The sequence below is a fragment of the Homo sapiens genome, chromosome 20 (assembly GCF_000001405.40).
Source record: "Homo sapiens chromosome 20, GRCh38.p14 Primary Assembly".
In the NCBI taxonomy this organism is placed as follows: Eukaryota; Metazoa; Chordata; class Mammalia; order Primates; family Hominidae; genus Homo; species Homo sapiens.
The window spans coordinates 14215172-14242917 of record NC_000020.11 but is presented as its reverse complement, the minus strand read 5'-3'; the positions used below and the strand labels follow the sequence as shown (position 1 = coordinate 14242917).

General features: G+C 38.3%; 1 protein-coding gene and 1 pseudogene across 3 annotated transcripts in view, besides 1 other annotated feature; both read right to left on the bottom strand.

Annotated features, from left to right (window-relative positions):
• The window catches only part of MACROD2 (mono-ADP ribosylhydrolase 2), a 2057682-nt gene that overhangs the window by 1810280 nt on the left and 219656 nt on the right, over positions 1-27746 (bottom strand). The window lies entirely within an intron of this gene.
• Positions 19593-19877, bottom strand: RN7SL864P (RNA, 7SL, cytoplasmic 864, pseudogene; annotated as a pseudogene).
• Positions 21983-22711: an enhancer, noted in NCBI's record as "H3K27ac hESC enhancer chr20:14200853-14201581 (GRCh37/hg19 assembly coordinates)". NCBI's record gives its function as "activates a minimal SCP1, AML or CMV promoter by ChIP-STARR-seq in primed H9 embryonic stem cells {active_cell/tissue: H9 hESC(primed)}" and the evidence as "EXISTENCE:reporter gene assay evidence [ECO:0000049][PMID:30033119]".

Here is a 27746-nt window from a genome sequence, read left to right as displayed (position 1 = left end):
TTTAATTTAACAAATTAATAAAATAGTTTAGAATAATGGATGAAAATCCTTTTTTCTGAAAGGCTCTGAACATTAGGGATGTGATCATAATGAAAACTGTATAAGCTCGTGTTTCTTGAATTTAAAGTAATTTTTACATTGTTTTTATTTGCTTGCAATAGAAAAGGTGTATAATTTGGCTTTGGACTTTGAAATTACATAAAATTTAAGTTAGCAGTACATGAGAATAAACAGATGCCTGTTTTCTGGTTTTCCTTTTCACAGAAATTACATACATTTATTACTTTTAAAGGAAAATAATTGGGTAATTAACACCTAAATGTTATCTGTCATCCAATGGAACAATTTAAAAATTCAAATAAATAAAATTTCCTCAATGTGAGAATTTCTTTATGCTGTGAATATATGTGGTCCACAGTCACTATTTGACCTATGTTTACTATCTCTAAAGTAGATATGTATACTTCTGCTGGCATATGAATATTCTATGTGGAAAGATCATTCTGATCTAATATTACCTAAATGCAAGGTCATATGCATTTTTCAAATACTGTGTGTGCAGGAAATGACAAGAACAATCCTCAAAACTTAAATTCTATATTCACATGCTTTTGTGCCTTTTTAGAATGCTTAAGTGTTAACGTGAAGTCTGTGATTTTTCAAAGTACTGAATATAAAAACAAAAAATTGTTATCAGATAGGAAGATGAATCCAAACATTTTAAATTAGACAACTGATAAATTGTCTAATTTAATTTTTTAAATGTATGCAGGACTACATGTTATTTTGAATAACCCAAATGAACAGAGAACATCCAAATTTTCTTTCCTCAACATTCAGCATACAATTTTAGTTACATGACCTTTAATCTGACTTCTATCACTGTGCATTTTCTCATTTTAATATAATACAAATGACTGAGGTTACTAAGATGTAATTTTACACAGTTGTAATGTTTAATCATAAGGTTTATGACATCTACTATAGGTCCCTAGCATTAATTAACATACATTTTCTGAAGGAACCAATTGGGTGGTCTCCATTAAAGCTTATGTAAAAGAATAGTATTAGACAAGGATATTAACACAAACATCAGTAAAATTTAAAATTAAATTCTAAGTATGAAGACAATATTTTCATCTGCTTTTCCTTCTGCTACAGGGCCCCTCCTTGTAAGGATATTCCCACTCACTAGCCAGTTCTAACACATCATCCCACAGGTTGGAGTTCAAGCATCAGTTGTTCAGGAAAGCCTTCCTTAACTTCCCTGACAAGGTAATTCCCTATTATAAGCACTCATATCACCATGTACCTTTACTAAAGGTGGTGGCCATGGTTACAATGTTTTACATATATATACATATATGCTTATATGTATATGTATCATATATATATAATTTGATAAATATCTACTTATCCTTCACAATGTACGTGTTTCCATGTCTGTTATGTGCCTATGTTTACGGTCCATTGAATTCCCAGCAGTGGTTCATGTTGTTATCATAAAATTTTCTACTGATAAAAAAAATCACACACCAATCTGAATGAAAATCATACTGATTCTATAAGCCTTCTACACATAAACCACATAAATTTTCAGTTTTTATAACAAATGTAAATTTATTTTTGGCTGAGATATAACCACTTAGCAAGATGATATTTTCCTTTATAAATATCTCAGATTATGCTAGTTAATATGCATCACATACCTATTAATATACTAAGCTCCAAAAGAAAAATATGCGTTAGCAAATACTTCTTCGTGTTCTTTTGTATTTATTTCTTAAAAACTTTTTTTTTTTGAGACGGAGTCTCACTCTGTCACCCAGGCTGAAGTGCAGTGATGCAATCTCGGCTCACTGCAACCTCCGCCTCCCGGGTTCAGGTGATTCTCCTGAATAGCTGGGATTACAGGCACGTGCCACCACACCCAGCTATTTTTTGTATTTTTAGTAGAGAGGGGGTTTCACCATGTTGGTCAGGCTGATCTTGAATTCCTGACCTCATGATCCACCCACCTCGGCCTCCCAAAGTGCTGAGATTACAGGCAAGAGCCGCCACGCCCAGCCAAAACTTTTATTTTAGGTTCTGGATACATGTGCAGGTTTATCATATAGGTAAGTTGCATGTCATGAGCATTTAGTGTACTGATTATTCAGTCACCCAGGTAATAGGCATAGTACCTCTTAAGTAGCTTTTGATCCTCATGTCCTCCCTCCTTCTGCCCTCAAGTAGGCCTGGGTATCTTTTGTTCTTTTCTTTGTGTCCATGTCTATTCAGTGTTTAGCTCCCACTTATAAGTGAGAACACGCAGTATTTGGTCTTCTGTTCCTATGTTACTTTGCTTAGGATACTGAACTCCAGCTCCATCCATATTGCTGCAAAGGACATGATCTCATCCATTTTGGGGGGCTGTATAGTATTCCATAGTGTATATGTACCATGTTTTCTGTATCCAGTCTACCACTGATGGGCATTTATGTTAATTCCATGTCTTTGCAATTATGGAGAGTACTGAAATAAACATACAAGTGCATTTTCTTTTTTGCATAATGATTTATTTTCCTTTTCAGTATATACCCAATAATGGAATTGCTGAGTTGAATCATAGTTCTGTTTTAAGTTATTTTGGAAATCATTAAACTGCTTTTCACAATGGCTGAACTAATTTACATTCCCACCAGTAGCGTATAAGCATTCCCTTTACTCTACAACCTTGCCAGCATGTGTTATTTTTTTGACTTTTTAATGACAGCCATTCTGACTGGTATAAGATGGTATCTCATTGTGGTTGTTGATTATTGTTTCTCTAATGATTCGTGATGTTGAGCATTTTTTCATGTTCTTCTTAACCACATGTAAGTCTTCTTTAGAAAAGTATTTATTCACGTCCATTGCCCACTTTTTCATGAAGTTGTTTGGGGTTCATTTGCTTGTTAATTTGTTTAAGTTCTTTATAGATTCCGGATATAAGAGCCTTGTCAGATGTGCAGCTTACAAATATTTTCTCCCATTCTGTAGGTAGTCTCTTTACTGTGCTAATAGTTTCTTTTGCTCTGCAGAAGCTCTTTAGTTTAATTAGGTCCCATTTGTCAATTTTTGTTTTTATTGCAACCGCTTTTGGCATCTACGTCATGAAATCTTTAGGGCCTGTGTCCAGAATGGTATTTCCTAGATTACCTTCCATGGTTTTTATAGTTTCAGGTTTTACATTTAAGACTTTAATCCATCTTGAGTTGATTTTTGTATATGGTGTAAGGAAGGGGTCTAGTGCATATCCACCATTTATTGAATGAGTCCTTTCTCCATTGGTTGTTTTTGTCAACATTTTTGATGATCAGATGGTTGTAGGTATATGGCATTATTTCAGGTCTCTCTATTCTGCTCCATTTGTCTGTGTGTCTGTGACAGTATCATGCCGTTTCAGTTACTCCAGCCTTGTAGAATAGTTTAAAGATAGGTAGAAAATGTCTCCAGCATTTCTTTTTGCTTAGGATTGCCTTGGTTATTGAAGCTTTTTGTTGTTGTTCCATATGAATTTTAAAACAGTTTCTCTAATTCGTTGAAGAATGTCATTGGTAACTTGATATTAATAGCATTGAATCTGTAAATTGCTTTGGGCAGTACAGCCATGTTAACAATATTGATTCTTCCTATCCATGAGTATGAAATGTTTTTCCATTTGTTTCTGTTATCTCTGATTTCTTTCAGCAGTGTTTTGTAATTCTCACTGTAGAGACCTTTAACCTCTATAGTTAACTGTATTCCTAAGTACTTTATTCTCTTTTGCCTATTGAGAATGAGATTGTATTCTTCATTGGGGTCCCAACTTGGATGTTGCTGGTGTATAGGAAGGCTGCTGATTTTTTTTTTTTTTTTTTTTTTTTTTTTGAGACGGAGTCTCACTCTGTCGCCCAGGCTGGAGTGCAGTGGCGCAATCTTGGCTCACTGCAACCTCTGCCTCCCAGGTTCAAGCGATTCTCCTGCCTCAGCCTCTCAAGTAGCTGGGACTACAGGTTCATGCCACTGTGTCTGGCTAATTTTTGTATTTTTATTAGAGACGAGGTTTTACCATATTGGCCAGGCTGGTCTTGAACTCCTGACCTAATGATCCGCCCGCCTCGGCCTCCCAAAGTGCTGGGATTACAGGCATGAGCCACTGGGCCTGGTCAGAAGGCTGCTGATTTTTGTACACTGATTTTGTATCCTGATTGCTGAAGTCGTTTATCAGCTCAAGGAGCTTTTGGGTAGAGACTGTGGGATTTTCCAGGAATAGAATGATATTGTCTGCAAAAAGGAATAGTTTGACATCCTCTCTTCCAATGTGGATGCCTTTTATATCTTTCTCTTGCCTGACTGTTCTGGCCAGGACTTCCAATACTATGTTGAATAGGAGTGGTGAGAATGGGCATCCTTGTCTTGTTCCAATTTTCAAGGGGGATGCTTGCAGCTTTTGCTCATTAGTAAAATGTTGTTTGTGGGTTTTTCATACATAGTTCTTATTATTTTGAATTATGTTCCTTCAACGCCTGGTGTGTTGAGTATTTCTAACCTGAATGGATGTTGAATTTCATTAAAAGGTTTTTCTACATTAATTAAGATAATAATATAATCATGTGTTTTTTTCTTTTGAGTTCTGTTTATGTAATAAATAACATTTATTGATTTGCATTTGTTAAATGAACTTTGCATCCCAGGGATACAGCCTACAAGATCGTGGTGGATTAGCTTTTGAAATAGGAATACTTTTGCACTGTTGGTGGGACTGTAAACTAGTTCAACCATTGTGGAAGTCAGTGTGGCAATTCCTCAGGGATCTAGAACTAGAAAGACCATTTGACCCAGCCATCCCATTACTGGGTATATACACAAAGGATTATAAATCATGCTGCTATAAAGACACATGCACACGTATGTTTATTGTGGCACTATTCACAATAGCAAAGACTTGGAACCAACCCAAAGGTCCAACAATGATAGACTGGATTAAGAAAATGTGGCACATATACACCATGGAATACTATGCAGCCATAAAAAAGGATGAGTTCATGTCCTTTGTGGGGACATGGATGAAGCTGGAAACCATCATTCTCAGCAAATTATCGCAAGGACAAAAAAACCAAACACCGCACGTTCTCACTCATAGGTGGGAATTGAACAATGAGAACACATGGACACAGAAAGGGGAACATCACACTCTGGGGCCTGTTTTGGGGTGGGGGGGAGGGGAGAGGGATAGCATTAGGAGATATACCTAATGCTAAATGACAAGTTAATGGGTGCAGCACACCAGCATGGCACATGTATACATATGTAACTAACCTGCACACTGTGCACATGTACCCTAAAACTTAAAGTATAATAATAATAATAAAATAAATAAATAAAGAATTAATAGAACTATAAATTAGACTTAGCTAAAGAGATATATGAGGCAGATACACAATATGGAAAGAAAAAAGATAAAAACTATGAAAGAGAAATTGATTTGAGGTATAAGAATGAAAAGATGAATCATTTGTCTCATAGGAGTCCCACTAAGTGAGGAAAAAAAGAGAATGTGCAGAGATGATAATATATACAAAGTATGTGGCTGATATTCTCTAACAAAAAAAAGAATCATCAGATTGAAGAAATGGGAGATTGTATTTATATATACACACATAAATCGACAGGTATTCATAATTGTAATGAAATTCCATAACAACAAAGACAAAAAGAAAATATTTAAAGCTATCAGAGAGATATGAGAGCTTGTTATAGAGGTAGCAATTATACTAACACTTCTCATCAGCAACAACAAATGCTACTAGATTATGAAATATTATCTTCTAATTATTGAAGAAGACTAACCATCCAGCAGGAATTCTATACCCAGGATTCTATACTTGAATCTAAGTTATTGAAGAGTAAGGATAAAATAAAGAAATTTTCAGACATACAAAAATTAACAGTTTGTTACACTCATTAAAAACAAATTTTGGCAATAAAGAAGGAATTAGATCCAAGAAAAATATTTATCATAGAAATTTATAATAAACACTGATTTTTTTAATAACTGACATTTTGATTGGAAATAGTTTAAAATATGGTGTATCTAAAATGCTAAACATGATGGTTGATACAAGAAGGCAGATTGAATTTAAAGCATTAAACTAGTAGAGGCAATGGACAAAAGTATGAACTAAATGAATATACACCAAATTCATAAATGCAGTAGCCTCTGAAAAGAGAGGGCGGTTGCTGGAACTAAAGAAGTAACAGAGTGGACTTCAACCTTATCTTTGACGTCAAATTTTTAATAAAATATATTAAGCAAAAAACCAAAAATGTTAATTATTTATGTTGAGTAAATAAATGTTTGTTAATTTGATTCTTTCATTTTCGTATTTTCTAAATATTAAATGCAAGGTGGCAGATGTAGTTTTTTTTGCTTTTTTTTTAAGTAAGCAAGACTACTACAAGGTATTAAGCGAAGAGTATAAAAGTATTTTTATTTGCTTTGTCTTCTAAGCAACACTACTATAATGTCTTAAGCAAAGATCATGAAAGCGTTTTGATTCTAAAGCTCATAAAGCTTCAAGAATTACATAAACTGGAAAAGTTCTACTGCACAGTTGATTTCTCACTTAATCGATCATGAATATGAAATCAAACTACTGTTTCATTTTTAACCACTCCAAGGAATGACTAGTACAATTTTGCATCTTGACATTGAAATTATAGGACGTAAGCACAAGCAAATCAAAGCAGTCTGGATTTGATTTCAAAAATACACATGAATTTCCCATTTAGAGATTTAAAAAAACATATAATATGAATATTTCCAAATGTGTATGGAGGGGTTTTTAGGAAACTTCGTCATATAGGCTAAGTAACTTGGTTATTTTTCTTCAGTCAAGCCTCTCAGTTTAGGACATTTACACATCAGTGGGTTAACTGGCAACTAGTCCATGAGCAGTATGTCAGTTATAATTAAAAAAACAGTAATACTATTAAGTATGTTTTTCCACGTATTATTTGCCTTTCCAGAAGAAAAGTGAAACCTTATAAAAGATGGGATAATTTCAAATAGCTATGTTGTTCATGCTCTTGTAAATGAGGTCTGCAACTTTTAAAACCAAAATGGAGTGCGAATGTCCCAGTAAATCTGCATCAGATGTGCTTCAGTTTGAAAGGAAATGATATCAAATTCAAGTAGTTAAATGAATCGTGAAAAAAGTGTAATCTACACAGACCACGTTATGCAACTGCTCTAGTTGTAGAAGTCTATGTACAGAGCAAAACAATTCCTTTATCATTTCTAAAAATAAATGTAGTTGGTTGTTCCTCTACAGCTGGATGAGGTATTTCTTCATAGTATTTTTCAAGGCATTTTAAGGGCAAAAAATGAGTCATGTTAGTTAAGATGAGAGGTAACATAGCTTAGCAGTTCAGAGAGGGTACTCAGGAGTTCTACTGCCTGATGTTTGAATCATGGTCTCCCTGCTAGCTGTGTAAGCTTATACAAGCCTCTTAACTACTGTGTGCCTCTGTTTTATAATCTACAAAATGGGAATGTGTGTGTATGTATGCATGTGTGTGAAAAATAGATGTCATTATGCAAAATATTTCAATGTACAATCAACATCTCTTTCATATTTTAAGAACTATAATTGAAATATTTTCTACTATAATTTTAGGCTTTACAAAGTTAAATCTACAGCTGTTCATAATATAAATTTTATCCCCTTCACGTTTGAAAATATTAGTCTGGAGATGTGGCTTTATGTAGGCTTATATAACTAGATACCTTTTTTAATCTGCCTGGAGCAATATGACTCCTCTGTTTAGACTACTCTTGTACCAACTTCCAATTACCACCTATAAATAGACAGAAACAGTGTGGGCCTCTTTTTTTCACATTAAAAAAGAACCTGAAGAGTAAAACTTAGTTAAAAAAATTACTTTGACCCATATTTGACTTTGAAAACATAATAAACGGTTCATTAATGATGCACTAAAATAGCAAATATTTAAGTGCTCTGTATATCCAAAACAATGAGCAAATAGTGAAGCAAGAATATTTGAGGTGATGAGTAATGCTGATCTCCCAAAGAAAGGGAGAGGCATCCACTCTTGGAGTGCTAGATCTTTTTGACAAGAATGCAGCTTAACTCTAAGGTTCAAAAGTCTGTATGCATGTGTGTGTCTGTCTGTTTGTGATGGGTGTGCATGTACAGAGATATGAGGTGGGCTATTGGCAAAAGACAGAAAGAACTAGAACAATAGAAACCATTTCATCTGCAAAGAAACAAAGGATATAAAAATAGAGCATATATAGCACAGAAGATAGAAAAAGCATGCTGAGAACTTAAATCATCTAAAACTATTAAAATAGTTTAAATAGGATAATATTTAATGTAAGATCATTTCTAATTTTGTTTCAAAGTATAACCATATACCTTCAGGAAATATGTACTTACAGGAAAATAACAGATGAACTAAGAATAACTAAGGTACACCCAAGAACAATTGAGAGTCCATAAAAAATGTGTGGAAAACCTTGGAATTATATGAATATCATTTTTAAATTGTTTAAATTCAAATATTAAGTCACTGGAGAATTATGGAAAAGGATATATGAACAATCAATAGAATACATGGTTTTTTAACTTTTTTTAAATTGATGCATTTTTAGTGAGTTTTATTATTGCTTTTATTTTTAGTAGTGCAGTTTTAAGTTTTGACAAAAATTGGTCATAAAGTACAGAGTCCCCATATACCCTCTCTCCCCTGTCCAAAGTTGGCCCTATTATTAACATCTTGCATCACTGTGGTACATTTGTTACAACTGATTTACCAATATTGATACATTATTATTTATTAAAGTCCAGAGATTACATGAGGGTTCATTCTTGTACAGCTCTGCGGGTTTTGCAAATCCGTAATATCATATATTTACCTTTAGAGTATCATACAGAATAGTTTCACGGCCCTAAAACTGCCATATGCTCAACCTATTCACTCCTCCTACTCAACTCCTATCAACCACTGATCTTTTTATTGTCTCTATAGTTTTGCCTTTTCCATAATGTCATATAGTTGGCATCAGGCAGTATATAAAGGCTTTTAAGACTGGCTATCTTTCACTTAGTAATAGGCATTTAAGGTACCTCCATGTCTTTTCATGACTTGTTAGTTCATTTCTTTTCTTTTCTTTTCTTTTTTTTTTTTTTTGTGAGACGGAGTCTCGCTCTGTCGCCCAGGCGGGAGTGCAGTGGCACAATCTCGGCTCACTGCAAGCTCTGCCTCCCGGGTTCAGGCCATTCTCCTGCCTCAGCCTCCCGAGTAGCTGGGACTACAGGCACCCGCCACCACACCCCACCTGGCTAATTTTTTTTTTTTTTAGTAGAGACGGGGTTTCACCATGTTAGCCAGGACAGTCTCAATCTCCTGACCTCGTGATCCTCCCACCTTGGCCTCCCAAAGTGCTGGGATTACAGGCGTGAGCCACCGCGCCCGGCCAGCTCATTTCTTTATATCACTAAATAAGTCAGGCATACCTCATTTTATTATGCTTTACTTATTGTGCTTCACAGATATTGAATGTTTTACAAATTGAAGGTCTGTGGCAACGCTGCATCAAGCACATCTATCGGTACCATTTTCCCAAGCGGATGTGCTCACTTAGTGTCTCTGTGTCAGGTTTTGGTGATTCTTACATTTCAGACATTTCCATTATTATTTTATCTCTTATGGTGATCTGTGATCAGTGATCTTTGATGTTATAACTGTAATTGTCTTGGGGCACCATGAACCACACCCATATAAGACAATGAACTTAATCTATAAATGTGTGTGCTCTGACTGCTCCACTGACCAGCCATTATCCATATCTCTCCCTCTCCTCCAGCCTCCCTATTCCCTGAGACACAACAAGATTGGAATTAGGCCAATTAATAAACCTACAATGGCCTCTAAGTGTTCAACTGAAAGAAAGAGTCACATGTGTCTCACTTTCGATCAAAAGCTAGAAATGATTAAGCTTAGTGAGGAGGACACGTCAAAAGCCAAGACAAGCTGAAAGCTAGGCCTCATGTGCCAAACAGTTGGCTGAATTGTAAATGCAAAGGAAAATTTCTTGAAGGAAACTGAAAGTGCCACTTCAGTGAACACACATTTGATAAGAAAGTGCAACAGCCCTATTGCTGATGTGGAGAAAATTTGAGCAATCTGGATAGAACATCAAACCAACCACAATATTCCCTTAAACCAAAGCCTAATCCAGAACAAAGCCCGAAGTCTCTTCAATTCTATGAAGGCTGACAGAGGTGAGGAAGCTGCAGAAGAAAAGCTGGGAGCTAGCGGAGGTAGGTTCCTGAGGTTTAAGGAAAGAAGCCATCTCCATAACATAAAAGTGAAAGATGAAGTAGCAAGTGCTGATGTAGAAGGTTCAGCAAGTTATCTAGATCTAGCTAAGATAACTGATGAAGGTGGCTATACTAAACAAGAGATTTCCTGTGTAGGCAAAACAGCCTTATTTTGGAAGATGACACTATCTGGGATTTTCATAGCCAGAGGGGAGAAGTCAATACTTAGCTTCGAAGAGTCAAAAGACAGGCTAACTCTCTTGTTAAGAGCTACAGCAGCTTGTAACTTTAGTTTGAGGCCAATGCTTGTTTAACATTCTAAATATCGTAGGGCCATTAAGAATAGGCTGGGCAAGGACTTCATGTCTAAAACACCAAAAGCAATGGCAACAAAAGCCAAAATTGACAAATGGGATCTAATTAAATTCAAGAGCTTCTGCACAGCAAAAGAAACTACCATCAGAGTGAACAGGCAACCTATAGAATGGGAGAAAATTTTTGCAATCTACTCATCTGACAAAGGGCTAACATCCAGAATCTACAATGAACTCAAACAAATTTACAAGAAAAAAAACAAACAACCCCATCAACAAGTGGGAGAAGGACATGAACAGACACTTCTCAAAGGAAGACATTTATGCAGCCAAAAGACACATGAAAAAATGCTCATCATCACTGGCCATCAGAGAAATGCAAATCAAAACCACAATGAGATACCATCTCACACCAGTTAGAATGGCAATCATTAAAAAGTCAGGAAACAACAGGGGCTGGAGAGGATGTGGAGAAACAGGAACACTTTTACACTGTTGATGGGACTGTAAACTAGTTCAACCATTGTGGAAGTCAGTGTGGCGATTCCTCAGGGATCTAGAACTAGAAAGACCATTTAACCCAGCCATCCCATTACTGGGTATATACCCAAAGGATTATAAATCATGCTGCTATAAAGACACATGCACACGTATGTTTATTGCGGCACTACTCACAATAGCAAAGACTTGGAACCAACCCAAATGTCCAACAATGATAGACTGGATTAAGAAAATGTGGCACATATACACCATGGAATACTATGCAGCCATAAAAAAGGATGAGTTCATGTCCTTTGTGGGGACATGGATGAAGCTGGAAACCATCATTCTCAGCAAACTATCGCAAGGACAAAAAAACCAAACACCGCACATTCTCACTCATAGGTGGGAATTGAACAATGAGAACACATGGACACAGGAAGGGGAACATCACACTCTGGGGCCTGTTTTGGGGTGGGGGCAGTGGGGAGGGATAGCATTAGGAGATATACCTAATGTTAAATGACGAGTTAATGGGTGCAGCACACCAACATGGCACATGTATACATATGTAACTAACCTGCACATTGTGCACATGTACCCTAAAACTTAAAGTATAATTTAAAAAAAAAAGAAAAAAAAAGAATGATGCTAAATGCACTCTGCCTGTGCTCTATAAATGGAACAACAAAGCTTGGATGACAGCACATTTGTTTACAACATGGTCTACTGAATATTTTAAGATTACTATTGAGACTTACTGCTCAGAAAAAAAAAAAAGATTCCTTTCAAAATATTACTGCTCATTGACAATGCTCCTGGCCACCCAAAAGCTCTGATCTACAAGATGAATGTTTTTTTCACACCTGCTAACACAACATCCCTTCAGTAGTCCATGGATCAAGGACTAATTTCAACTTTCAAGCCTTCTTGTAAGAAATACATTTAATAGGGCTATAACTGCCACAGATAGTAATTCTAAACCTTCTTAAAAGGATTCACCATTCTAGATGCCATTAAGAACATTCATGATTTGTAAAAGGAGGTCAAATTATAACATAGGCTGGGCCCATATATATATATATATATATATATATATATAGGCCCAGCCTGTGTTATATATATATATATATATATATAAACATGAATGAGAGTTTGGAAGAAGTTGATTCCAAGCCTGGTGGATGAATTTGAGGGCTTCAAGACTTCAGTGAAGGAAATCACTGCAGATGTGGTAAAAATAGCAAGAGAACTAGAATTAGAAGTGAACCCTAAAGACATAACTAAATTGCTGCAGTCTCACAACAAAACTTGAACAGATGAGGAGTTACTTCTTAAGGATGAGCAAAGAAAGTGGTTTCTTGAGATGGAAACTACTCCTTTTGAAAATGCTATGTAGACTGTTGAAATGACTACAAAGGATTAGAATATCCCACAAATTTAGTTGATAAAGCAGCGGTACTGTTTGAGAGGACTGAACCCAATTTTGAAAGAAATTCTACTGTGTGTACAATGCTATCAAACAGCATCCCGTGCTACAGAGAAATTGAAAGGATAAGTTAACCACACCAAACTTCCCTGTTGTCTTACTTCAAGAAATTGCCACAGCCACCCTAACCTTCAGCAACCATCACCCTGATCAACAATGAGCCAAGACCCTCTATCAGCAAAAAGACTGTAACTCACTGAAGACTCAGATGATCATTAGCAATATTTAGCAATTAAGTATTTTTAAATTAAGGTATGTACATGTTTTTAGATATAATGCTATCAAATAATAGACTAAAGTATAGTATAAACATAATTTTATTTGCATTAGGAAAGCAAACAATTTCTGTGACTCACTTTATTGCTATACTCAATTTATTGTGGTGGTCTGAAACCAAAACTGCAGTGTCTCCGCATTATATCTGTATTCCATTATATCTGTGTACCATAGTTTGTCTATGCATTTTTCCACTGAAGGACATCTTGGTTGCTTCTACTTTGGTCCAATTATGATAAAGTAGCTAAAAATATTCATGTAAAAGTTTTTGTGTGGACAGTCTTCAACTCAGGGTAAATACTAGAAGCATGTGTGCTGGATCATACAGTAAGACTAAGTTTAGCTTTGTAAGAACCTACCAACCTGTCTTCCAAAGCAGCTGTACCATTTTGCATTCCCACCAGCAATGAATGAGAGTTACTGTTGTTCCACGTCCTTGTCAGCATTCAATGTTATCAGAGTTTTGGGTTTAGCTATTATGATAGCTAATTGTTATTTTAACTTGCAATTCTTTAATGACATATAATACTGAGCATCTTTTCATGTGCTTATTTGCCATCTGTACATCTTATTTAGTGAAGTATCTGTTCAAATCTTTCCCTTACTTTTTACTTGAGTTGTTTTCTTATTGTTGGGTTTTAAGAATTATTTGTATATTTTAGATACCAGTCTTTTATCAGATGGATATATATTTACAAAGTTTTCTCCCAGCCTGTGGCTTGTCTTTTCGTTCTCTTAACAGTGTCTTTCACAAAGCAGAAATTTTTTATGTAATGAAGTCTCACTTGCCAATTTCTTCTCTCATGTACAGTGTTTTTGGTGTTGTATCTAAAAGAAGCTCATCAGCAAACTACGATCACCTATATTTTGTCCTATGTTATCTCCTAAAGTTTTATAGTTTTGCAACTTACTTTTGGGATATGTTGAACATATAGTTGGAAAGAACAGACATCCTAGCAATACTGACACTGTTCTTTGCATTTAATGTCTTTTTTCTTTTCTTTTTTTTTTTTTTGAGACAGAGTCTGGTGTGCTGTGGCATGATCCTGGCTCACTGCAACCTCTGCTGCCTCCCAGGTTCAAGCAATTCTTGTGCCTCAACCTCCTGAGTAGCTGGGATTATGGGCGTGTGCCACCACACCCAGCTAATTTTTGTTATTTTTAGTAGAGATGGGGTTTCGCCATGTTGCCCAGGCTAAACTCGAACTCCTGGCCTCAAGTAAACCACCCGTTGGCCTCTGAAAGTGCTGGGATTACAGGCATGAGCCACCTCAGCTGGCCGAAATTAATGTCTTTTTTTCTGTGACAATTTTTATTTAAGAAAATATTTCAGACATCTTCCTAAATCAAGGACTATACGTTTTTACATCATTTTCATGGATACATACATAATATTCCATTAAGTAAAAATCTAACTTATGTAAGCAATTCTTCATTGATAGCCATTTAGGTCTTTTCTAACCTTTTGCTATTACAGTTAAGACTATACTAAAATACAAAAATTAGCTGGGCATGGTGGCACATGCCCGTAGTCCCAGCTACTCGGGAGGCTGAGGCAGGAGAATGGCGTGAACCCGGGAGATGGAGCTTGCAGTGAGCCGAGATCACGCCACTGCACTCCAGCCTGGGTGACAGAGAGAGACTCCATCTCAAAAAAAAAAAAAAAAAGAAAAATATTTATGACCATTTCCTTAAAACATTATTTTAAGTAAAATTATTGGATATAAAGATATATAGAACACAGACTTCCAGATTCCCTAATTGTTAACATTTTACTTCACTTGCTTTATTGTCTACACACGCACACACACACTCTCTCTCTCTCTCTCTCTCTATATATATACATAGAAAAAACTATATATATAGTTTTTAAGAGTAAATTGCAGAATGATGCTCTTTTCCCTAAGCACTTCAGTTTATTTCTTAAAAACAAGCCAGTTTTTTACAGAACCATGTATAACTATCAAAATCAGAAAATTTACATTGACATAATACTATTATCTTGCCCAATTGTACTGTAAACCTAAAATTGCTCTTAAAAATAAAGTCTATTAATTTTTTAAAATGGTATTGTCATGAAAGACAAAGAGAGACTGAACAGCTGTTACAGATTAAGAAAACCTAAAATGATATGACAACTAGATTAAATCCTGGACCATGTATTTTATGTTTGCTTTAAGAATTTTCTTGGGATAATGGGTCAAATACAAGTATGGTCCATAAATTAATTTCTAAAAGCAAAGGGAAATTTTAAAGGCTCAGCCCAGCAGACCCTAAAAAAAGTAAAGTTGGCATCTAAATCCCAGTGTATCCGGAATTGGTGGGTCCTTGGTCTCACTGACTTCAAGAATGAAGCCGCGGACCCTCGCGGTGTTACAGTTCTTAAAGGCAGCGTGTCCGGAGTTTGTTCCTTCTGATGTTCAGATGCGTTCGGAGTTTCTTCCTTCTGGTGGGTGCATGGTCTCGCTGGCTCAGGAGTGAAGCTGCAGACCTTGGCGGCGAGTGTTACAGCTCTTAAGGCGGCGCATCTGGAGTTGTTCGTTCCTCCCGGTGGGTGCGTGGTCTCGCTGGCTTCAGGAGTGAAGCTGCAGACCTTTGTGGTGAGTGTTACATCTCATAAAGGTAGCGTGGACCCAAAGAGAGAACAGTACCAAGATTTATTGCAAAGAGCAAAAGAACAAAGCTTCCACCATGTGAAAGGGGACCCGAGCCTGTTGCCACTGCTGGCTCCGGCAGCCTGCTTTTATTCTCTTATCTGGCCCCACCCACATCCTGCTGATTGGTAGAGCCAAGTGGTCTGCTTCCACAGGGCGCTGATTGGTGCCTTTACAATCCCTGAGCTAGACACAAAGGTTCTCCAAGGCCCCACCAGAGTAGCTAGATACAGAGTATAGATTGGTGCATTCACAAACCCTGAGCTAGACACAGGGTGCTGATTGGTGTGTTTACAAACCTTGAGCTAGATACAGAGTGCCAATTGGTGTATTTACAATCCCTGAGCTAGACATAAAGGTTCTCCACGTCCTCACCAGACTCAGGAGCCCAGCTGGCTTCGCCCAGTGGATCCTGCACTGGGGCTGCAGGTGGAGATGCCTGCCAGTCCCGCGCTGTGCGCCCGCACTCCTCAGCCCTTGGGTGGTCGATGGGACTGGGCGCCGTGGAGCAGGGGGCGGCGCTCATCGGGGAGGCTTGGCCGCACAGGAGCCCACGGAGTGGGTGGGAGGCTCAGGCATGGCGGGCTGCAGGTCCCGAGCCCTGCCCCGCGGGAAGGCAGCTAAGGCCCGGCGAGAAATCGAGCACAGCGCCGGTGGGCTGGCACTGCTGGGGGACCCAGTACACCCTCCGCAGCCGCTGGCCCGGGTGCTAAGCCCCTCATTGCCCGGGCTGGCAGGGCCGGCCGGCTGCTCCGAGTGCGCGGCCCGCCAAGCCCACGCCCACCCGGAACTCCAGCTGGCCCGCAAGCGCCGCGCGCAGCCCCGGTTCCCGCTCGCGCCTCCCTACACATCTCCCTGCAAGCTGAGGGAGCCGGCTCCAGTCTTGGCCAGCCCAGAAAGGGGCTCACACAGTGCAGCGGTGGGCTGAAGTGCTCCTCAAGTGCCGCCAAAGTGGGAGCCCAGGCAGAGGAGGCGCCGAGAGCGAGCGAAGGCTGTGAGGACTGCCAGCATGCTGTCACCTCTCACCAGCATTCAATCCTTATAAACAGTTGCGAAAATCCTATGTATACAAACAGCTACCAGTGCCAATACCTCTGCTAAGGGCCACACCCTTACTGCGCCATCACAGACCCTATGGAAACACTGAGGTCCTCTGCTAAAGACAGGGGCACCATTCCTGCTATTGCTAGACCCCAGAGGCCAAAACTTTGCCCTTTACATTCCCTGATATTTAGCAACTCACTAATTCATGAAGCTTCTATACCTAAACCCCACCTGAACTGATCAACAACCCTTTTTCTCACTTTTACCCTAACCAGATACAACCTACCTGCTTCTACCAACTTCCCTCTCACACTCAAATACTAGGAACACAAAGAAAATCAGGACTTAGAGTGGTTTCAGGGAAGTAAGAAGTTACAGCCACCATTAGGACACTATTTTCAGCTTACACTATGGTTTGAGCAGCCTTTTGTGGGTGGGCCTGGAAACCTGTCATGTATAACACTAGTTCTTTAGAAAAAACATTCTAAGTTTCAAACAACTACCTTAAAAAAATATTTTGGATCACCTAAGCTTGAGACCACTTGCACTTTTATATTAACACAGAAAATTGAAATCAATATCCATATGGAATCTCATTATAAAAGCCTCTATTTTGAAATATAGATTGGTCAGTTATAATTGTACTGAAATCAAGAAGTTTCTACCTTAGCAAACTACACTTGCGACTTGATTGGCATAAGGTTGTATTAAAGGTTTAAAAGGCGATATTGATCTGAAGATTTCAAGTACTGTACTTCAAAGTGAAACTGTTTCAGTAATTATTTTTAACAATACACAGGACACTGTGAGAATCATATTTGAAAAGCTAAGTACATTTTAGAAAATGAATATACTTTTTCAAAGAGAATAACTACATGTTAATACATATCTATCATAGTTAAAAATAAAAAGTATCAAGGAAAGCTATTAGATGAATCAGATTTTATTGTTCCAATATTTCTCATATATGTTTTTAAAAAGTAGTCATGTTTACAGACTAAAAGTATCCTGATTTAAATTTCCCCTTTCAAAGCAGAAGAAAATATGTACTTCTTTTCTGTAATATTCCAAGCTACTAAAATATAACCAATGAAGTCATTTGATATCATTTTTAAGCTAGAATTATTTGTTTTCACCTTGCAATTATTCTGAAGAGGAAAACAAATTATTCTGCCATTATAGAAAAAAATACCAACAAGAAGACCCAATAAATAGGATCTAAAGATGTCAGTGAACACCCATCTGACCTACAACCTGAAAGAAACTTCCCCCAAACAGGCAGATGACAAATTGGAAAATAACGTCTGGAATTTAATCCCAGGAAATCAGATCCAATCTGAAATGCTGGGCAGCAAGCACAGTGCTCACTGGAATACGGTATCAGGTAGAATGGCTAGTGTATAAGGATTCAAGCACCATGGTAGCAATTCTACAGACAGCTATTCACAACAGTGGCATTTGAAAACCATAGGCCTCTGAGAATAAAAGTCATAATGGAGCGAAATAACAGTACTGGTATGCAGGTCATAAATACCATATGCATTCAATTATTTAAAAAATGGCAGTATATTTAATAATTTCTCCTCCCTACAAAACATGATGAGAGAACAAAGAGGGCAGGAGCAGCCTCACAATAAATGACCTCTAAACAAGAAGGATCTGAAGTTTGTAATAAGAATCCCAGGAAGCCACGTAACTTCTAGATAGTATACAAAGCTAAGGGGAAGATATGACATTGTCAGGACACTAATGGCCCCCTAAGAGCTATGAGTATCCTGCCTCAGTTCAGCAGTCTGTAGGCCAAATCAACTGTGCAGAAGACTGAAGTAGGCTGGGATCAAAGTGGAGCTTAGGGTTATAGGAAGAGGCCAGGCCCAGGCAGCAGTCTGCAACAGATAAAAATGTTGACAAGACTGAAGCTAATGGTATGATCAGAAAGGCACACGGTCTTAGCAGTGCCATCAATCAAAGTAGGCTTGAAGCACAGTCATAAACAAAGGATGGAACTAAGTGATGGAGGCTTAAGGCCTAGGGCTGGGATACTATATAAGATTGAATCTGCTATGGGGTACAAGGCAGATTCCAAAAACAAGTTCCTGTGATAGTTTTATGTGTCAACTTGCCTAGACCACTGTACTCAGATATTTGATCAAATAGTATGTTTCTGTGAAAGTGTTTTTTAGATGTGATTGATATTAAATCAGTTGACTTGGAGTAAAACAGCTTACCCTCCATAATATGGGTGAGCCTCATCCAATCAATTAAAGGTCTTAACAGAAAATGACTCACCGCCCCTGAGGCAGAGGGAATTCTGCCAACGGATCACCTTCGGACTAAAACTGCAACTCTTTCTCAGGTCTCCAGCCTGCTGGCCCACCCTGAAGATTTTGGATTTGTCAAGCTTCCACAATCATGTGAGCCATCAATAAGCCTCTTTCTATATATACATCCTGTTAGCTCTGTTTCTCTGGAGAACCCTAACTAATACAGTCCCAATATGAAGAATGTAGAGGCCAGGCGCGGTGGCTCACGCCTGTACTCCCAGCACTTTGGGAGGCTGAGGCAGGCAGATCACAAGGTCGAGACCAGCCTGGCCAACATAGTAAAACCCTGTCTCTACTAAAAATACAAAAATTGGCTGGGCATGGTGGCGGGCGTCTGTAATCCCAGCTACTTGGGAGGCTGAGGCAGGAGAATCATTTGAACCCGGGAGGCAGAGGTTGCAGTGAGCCGAGATTGCACCACTGCACTCCAGCCTGGGCAACAGGGTGAGACTCCGTCTCAAAAAAAAAAAAAAAAAAAGAATTTAGAGGAGCTGCTTCCCTATTTCACACAGTCCTGCTCACCAGGATGTCTTTCCTGGAGCTATCCATCAATTGCATAAGAGCCTTGCCTTCTTCATCTTTGTCTTTCACACCATGACTAGATAGGGCCTGACACACAGCAGAAAATTAACAATCCCTTTTAGACATATCTGAGATTAAGATTCAGGTACTTTCTGTCCTGTGTGATTCCTCAAGACTGTATACATTGCTGATATACAGATCAGCATGGGAGTTTTGACCTCTTCTATTTCAGACCTGGGCTGCTTCACCCCTCATTAGGCAAACTAGTAGTCCCCCACTCCTGGGAGGTCAGTATATTGATGCCAAACAGTGTGGACACCCAAAAGGGATAGCACACTACAGCCCAGAACTTCTGGACTCCAGTGATCTTCCTACCTCAGTCTCCCCAGTAGCTGGGACTACAGCACCAGCTCAGTGCTGATATACTCTCCTCAATTCCTTATGTGAGCAAGCAAAGCCTATACAAATATCTGAGCACCTAAAATAATATCACTTGTCCTTCTTGTTTCTTTCCTGTGGCTAATTTAGAGAGCTGAATTTAGTCTTGTTCCCATTACAAAGGCTTAATTTGATTATTTAAAGATAAACTCCAATCTGTTCTACAAAATGCTTCTCAATTCTTTTTTTTTTTTTTTTTTTTTTTTTTTTTCAGAAATCCAAAGGTTGAACTGTGAACTGTAGAGTCAAAAATCGAGTTCCCCCAATCTAAGAACTGGGAATAAGTCAGAAAGTAGCATCTAACAATAATCGCATCTAACAATAATATCCACCTTTTATTTTACTTTTTTTAAAAGAAAATGGGCTTATATTTGCCTTTTTAAAAATTTGTATAAATGTATGAGGTATAAGTGCAATTTTATTATATACATGGACTGCATGCATAGTGGTGAAATCAGGGTTTTTAGGGTATCCATCACCCAAATAATGTACCCATTAAGTAACTCCCAGTCATCCACCCTCCTCCCATCCCCTCACACTTCCTAGTGTCCATTGCATATCATTCTAAATTCTACGTCCATATATACACATTATTTAGGTCTCACTTATAAGTAAGGACACAAGGTATTTGTCTTTCTGTGTCTGAGTTGTTTAGCTTAAGACAATGGCCTCTAGTTCTATCCATGTCGCTACAAAAGAGATTATTTCATTCTTTTTTATAGCTGAATAGTATTCCATTGTGTATAGATACTACCTTTTCTTTATTAAATCATATGTTAATGGACACTTAGGTTGATTCTATATCTTTGCTATTGTGAATATTGTGCTGTGATAAGTATAAAAATGCAGGTATCTTTTTGATATAATGATTTATTTTCCTTTGAGTAGATACACCATAGTGGGATTGCTAGATTGAATGATGGTTCTAATTTTAGTTCTTTAAGAAATCCCCATACTGATTTCCATAGAGGTTGCACTCATTTACATTCCTACCAATAGTGTATAAGCATTCCCCTTTCTCTGCATCCTCACCAACATCTGTTTTGTTTTGTTTGTTTTACTTTTAACAATAGCCATTCTGACTGGTATAAGATGATATCTCATTGTGGTTTTAATTTGCATTTCTCTTATGATTAGTGAGTTGAATATTTTTTGTATGCTTGTTGTCCATTTGTATGTCTGCTTTTGAAAAATGTCTATTCATGTCCTTTGCCCACCTTTTAATAGGGTTAGTTTTTGTTATTGTTAAGTTGACTTCCTTATAAATTCTGGATATTAGTCTCCTGTGGGATGCGTAGTTTGCAAATACTTTCTCTCATTCTGTGGTTGTCTGTTCATTATGGTGATCACTTCTTTTGCTGTGGAAAACCTTTTTAGTTTACTTAAAGCTCATTTGTCTATTTTTGTTTTTGTTGCTTCTGCCTTTGAGGTCTTAGTCATGAGTTCCTTGCCTACAGCAATGTCCACAGGAGTTTTCCCTAGGTTTTCTTCTAGTATTTTTATCATTTCAGGTCTTACATTTAAGTCTTTAATCTGTCTTGAGTTGGTTTTTGTATATAATGAGAGATAGGGATCCAGTTTCATTTTTCTGCAGGGGGTAATACCTATCCTTCACAGGGCATTTATTGTTTGCAAAGCACTTGTGTCAGCCCCCCAACATGCTTGATTTCAAAATACCACAATAATGTAAGGCTTGTTACCCTGTTTTACAAATGAGAAAACTTAAGCTGGGAACAATTTTAAGTTTACATGGCAGAGTGGGATTAGACTCAAGACTCTCTCATTCCAAAGCCCATTCATACCCCAAGATAAGTAAATTTATAACAAAACAGGTTTTATTCTCAGCAAAGGATGCAAAGAATAAAGAAGTTACTGTTGTGGCTTGGCAGCTAAACAAAATATATCCTAAAGCAATAATGTTGACAGCATGTAAATGAATTCAAATTGTTATCAGAACACTGCTGGATAGTTTTTAAGGTCAATCATGGTAGACAGGAGGCAGGACTAGATTGCAGCTCTGGACAGAGCAGTGGGCGGCACCTCGCACTGTGAATTTTAGCATCAGATCGACTGCAAAACAAACCAGCCATCCTGAGAGGACCCACAGACCCTCTGAAAAAAGCAGACTGCTCCTGCAGGAACCAGGAGACAATCCCAAAACTGCGAGTGCCCCACCTGCGGAAGTGGGAGAGGGAGACCCTCCTCTCCTGAACACACAGCCCCACTGGAGAAGCCGAAGGTCTGTTTGCAGGAGAAGTTTCCAACTTTACCTGGAGCTGAGTCAATCTGGAGAGCCAAGCAAAATACAGGGGTAGAGGATGCAGCAGAAAGGCCCTGGGAGCTCGCTGGGTACCCTAGCAGGCCATTCCTGCCTGGCACCCCAGGGATCCAATGGGAGAAGAGCAGAGGGTAAAACTACACAGGGAGAAGGAAATCTCTAGCTGAACTTTGTAACCATTTGAACGAGATGAGAAGCCTCCTGGCCAGAACTGGAAGGAGGGTGCAAATTCAGTGTGCAGACTCCACAGGCAGGGGAAGAACCAAGCTCTTATCTTTCAAAGCTAGGAGGCATACAGCCTGGGGCAGGTTTTCAAGCCCTTACTGCTCTCAGCCTGGAAATGCTCTGGAGGGTGTTGGGAGGTGCACTGGGGGAGTGAGACCAGCCCTTTCATTTGCATGGGAGTTGGGTGAGGCCTGTGACTGCCCCCTTTCCCCCAACTTCCCTGACAACCTGCATGACTCAGCAGAGACAGCCATAATCCTCCTAGGTAAACAACTCCCCTGACCTGGGAATCTCACCTCCACCCCCCAACAGCAGCCGCAGCAAGACCCGCCCAAGGACAGTCTGAGCTCAGACACACCTAGTTCCACTCCCAGCTGATGGTCCTTTCCTACCCACCCTGGTAGTGGAAGACAAAGGGTATATAAACTTGGTTGTTCTAGGCCCCACCCACCACTGGTTCCTCCCCATAATACCACAGCTGATGCTCTCTGGAAAGTGCCACCTCCTGGCAGGAAGCCAACCAGCACAAAAATAGAATATTAAACCATCAATGCTAAGAAGCCTCACAGAGTCCATTGCACCCCCCACCCCGCCACCTCCACCGGAACAGGCACTGGTAACCATGGCTGAGAGACCCACAGATGGTTGGTATCACAGGACTCTGTGCAGACAAGTGCCAATACCAGCCCAGAGCCAGGCAGACTCTCTGGGTGGCCAGACCCAGAAGAGAGAGCAATCACTGCAGTTTGGCTCACATGAAGCCACATCCACAGGAAAAGGGGGAGAGTACTACATCAAGGGAACACCCTGTGGGAAAAAAGAATCTGAACAACAGCCTTCGGCCCTAGACCTTCCCTCTGACAGAGCCTACCCAAATGAGAAGGCACCAGAAAACCAACCCTGGTAATATGACAAAACAAGGCTCTTCAACAAACCCAAAAAATCACACTAGTTCATCAGCAATGGATCCAAGAAGAAATCCCTGCTTTACTCGAAAAATAATTCAGGAGGTTAGTTATTAAGCTAATTGGGGAGGGACCAAAGAAAGGCGAAGCCCAATGTAAGAAAATCCAAAATATGATACAAGAAGTGAAGGGAGAAATATTCAAGGAAATAGATAGCTTAAAGAAAAAAAAAAATTCAGGAAACTTTGGACACACTTTTAACAATAAGAAATGCTCTGGAAGGTCTCAGCAATATAATTGAACAAGTAGAAGAAAGAAATTCAGAGCTCGAAGACTAGGTCTTCAAATTAACCCAAGCTAACAAAGACAAAGAAAAAAGAATAATAAAATATGAACAAAGCCTCCAAGAAGTCTGGGATTATGTTAAACAATCAAACCTAAAAATAATCAGTGTTCCTGAGGAAGAGGAGAATTCTAAAAGCTCGGAAAACATATTTGGGGGAATAATCAAGGAAAACTTCTCTGGCCTTGCTAGAGACCTAGACATCCAAACACATGAAGCACAAAGAACACCCAGGAAATTCATCACAAAAAGATCTTTGCCTAGGCACTTCGTCATCAGGTTATCCAATGTTAAGGTGAAGGAAAGAATCTTAAGAGCCATGAGACAGAAGGACCAGGTAACCTATAAAGAAACACCTATCAGATTAACAGCAGATTTCCCAGCAGAAACCCTACAGGCTAAAAGCAATTGGGGACTTATCTTCAGCCTCCTCAAACAAAACAATTATCAGCCAAGAATTTTGTATCCAGGGAAACTAACCATCATATATGAAGAAAAGACACAGTCTTTTCAGACAAACAAATGCTGAGAGAATTTGCCATTACCAAGCCACCACTACAAGAACTGCTAAAAGTTGCTCTAAATCTTGAAACAAATCCTGGAAACATGTGAAAACAGAGCCTCTTTAAAGCATAAATCACACAGGACCTATAAAACAAAAATACAAGTTAAAAAGCAAACACACAAAAAAACAAAAAACCAAAGTACACAGGCAACAAAGATCATGATGAATGCAATGGTACCTCACATTTCAATACTAACATTGAATGTAAATGGCCTAAATGCTCCACTTAAGAGATACAGAACTGCAGAATGGATAAGAACTCACCAACCAACTATCTGCTTCCTTCAGGAGACTCACATAGCACATAAGAACTGACATAAACTTAAAGGAATGGAAAAAGGCATTTCATGAAAATGGACACCAAAAGTGAGCAGGGGTAGCTATTCTTATATCAGACAAAACAAACTTTAAAGCAACAGTAGTTAAAAGAGACAAAGAGGGACATTATATAACAGTAAAAGGCCTTGTCCAACAGGAAAATATCACAATTCTAAACATATATGCACCTAACACTGGGGCTCCCAAATTTATAAGACAATTACTAATAGACCTAAGAAATGAGATAGCAACACAATAATATTGGGGGACTTCAATATTCCACTGACAGCACTAGACAGGTCATCAAGACAGAAAGTCAAAAAAGAAACAATGGATTTAAACTATATCTTGGAACAAATGGACTTAACAGATATATAGGGAACATTTTCATCCAACAACCGCAGAATACACATTCTATTCAACAGCGCGTGGAACTTTCTCCAAGATAGACCATATGATAGGCCATAAAAGGCAAGATTAACCAAGAAAAGAAGAGAGAAAATCCAAATAACCTCACTAAGAAATGAAACAGGAGATATTACAGCTGACACCACTGAAATATGAAAGATCATTCAAGGCTACTATGAACACCTTTACACACATAAACTAGAAAACCTAGAGGACACAGATAAGTTCCTGGAAAAATACAACCCTCCTAGCTTAAGTCAGGAGGAATTAGATACCCTGAACAGACCAATAACAAGCAGTGAGATTGAAATGGTAATTTAAAAATTACCAACAAAAAAAAGTTCAGGACCAGACGGATTCACAGCAGAATTCTACCAGACATTCAAAAAAGAATTGGTACCAATCCTTTTGAAACTATTCCACAAGATATAGAAAGAAGGAAACCTCCCTAATTCATTCTACTAAGCCAGCATCACCCTAATACCAAAACCAGGAAAGGACATAACCAAAAAAAGAAAACTACAGACCAATATCCTTGATGAACTTAGATGCTAAAATCCTTAACAAAATACTTGCTAACCGAATCTAACAACATATCAAAAAGGTAATCCACCATGATCAAGTGGGTTTCATACCAGGGATGCAGGAATGGTTTAACATATGCAAGTCAATAAATGTGACACACCACATAAACAGAAATAAAAACAAAAATCACATGATCATTTCAATAGATGCAGAAAAAGCATTCAACAAAATCCAACATTGCTTTATGATTGAAACTCTCAGTGAAATCGGCATACAAGGGACATACCTTAATGCAATAAAAGCCATCTATGACAAACCCACAGCCAACAAAATACCGAATGGGGAAAAATTGAAAGCATTCCCTCTCAGAACTGGAACAACACAAGGATGCCCACTCTCACCACTCCTCTTCAACATAGTACTGGAAGTCCTAGCCAGAGCAGTCAGACAAGAGAAAGAATAAAAGGCATCCAAATTGGTAAATAGGAAATAAAACTGTCATTTTTTATGACAATATGATTGTTTACCTTGAAAACCCTAAGGACTCCTCCAGAAAGCTCTTAGAACTGATAAAAGAATTCAGCAAATTTTCCAGATACGAGATTAATGTACACAAATCAGTAGCTCTTCTATACACCAACAGTGACCATGCAGATAATCAAGTCAAGAACTCAACCCCTTTTACAATAGCTGCAAACAAAAAAATAAAATACTTAGGAATATACCTAACCAAGGAGTCGAAAGACCTCTACAAGGAAACCTACAAAACACTGCTGAAAGAAATCATAGACGACACAAACAAATGGAAACACATCCCATGCTCATGGATGGGTGAAATCAATATTGTGAAAATGACCATACTGCCAAAAGCAATCTACAAATTTAGTGCAATCCCCATCAAAATACCACCATCATTCTTCACAGAATTAAAAAAAACAATTCTAAAATTCTTATGAAACCAAAAAAGAGCCTGCATAGCCAAAGCAAGACTAAGCAAAAAGAACAAATCTGAAGGCATCACACAACCTGATTTCAAACTATACTATAAGGCCATAGTCACCAAACAGTGTGGTACTGGTACAAATGCAGGCACATAGACCAATGAAACAGAATAGAGAGCCCAGAAATAAACCCAAATACTTACAGCCAAGTGATCTTCAAGAAAGCAAACAAAAACATAAAGTGGGGAAAGGACACCCTTTTCAACAAATGGTGGTGGAATAATTGGCTAGCCACCTGTAGGAGAATGAAACTGGATCCTCATCTCTCACCTTATACAAAAATCAACTCAAGATGAATTGAGGACTTAAACCTAAGACCTGAAACTATTAACATTCTAGAAAAGAACACTGGAAAAACCTGTCTAGACATTGGCTTACGATTTCATGACCAAGAACCCAAAAGCAAATGCAATAAAAAAAAAGATAAATAGCTGGGACTTAATTAAACTAAAGAGCTTTTGCACAGCAAAAGGAACAGTCAGCAGAGTAAACAGACAACTCAGGGTGGGAGAAAATCTTTACAGTCTATACATCTGACAAAGGACTGATATCCAGTCTAATATCCAATGAACTCAAATCAGTAAGAAAAAAACAAACAATCCCATCAAAAAGTGGGCTAAGGACATGAATAGACAATTCTCAAAAGAAGATATACAAATGGCCAACAAACATATGAAAAAATGCTCAACATCACTAATGATCAGGGAAATGCAAATCAAAACCACAATGCGATAGCACCTCACTCCTGCAAGAATGGACATAATCAAAAAAATCACAAAACAGTAGATGCTGGCATGGATGCAGTGAACAGGGAACACTTCTACACTGCTGGTGGGAAAATAAACTAGTACAGCCGCTATGGAAAACACTGTGGAGATCCCTTAGAGAAGTAAAAGCAGAACTACCATTTGATCCAGCAATCCCATTACTGGGGGGGTACCTACCCAGAGGAAAATAAGTCATTATTCGAAAAAGATACTTAAACATGTATGTTTATAGCAGCACAATTCGCAATTGCAAAACCGTGGAACCAAATCAAATGCCCATCAATCAACAAGTAGCTAAAGAAACTGTGGTGTGTGTGTGTGTGTGTGTGTGTGTGTGTGTGTGTGTGTGTGTATATATGATGGCATAGATATATATGATGGAACATATATATATGATGGAACATATATGATAGAACATATATATATGATGGAATATACATATATGATGGAATATATATATGATGGAAAATATATATATGATGGAATATATATATGATGGAATATATATGATGGAAAAT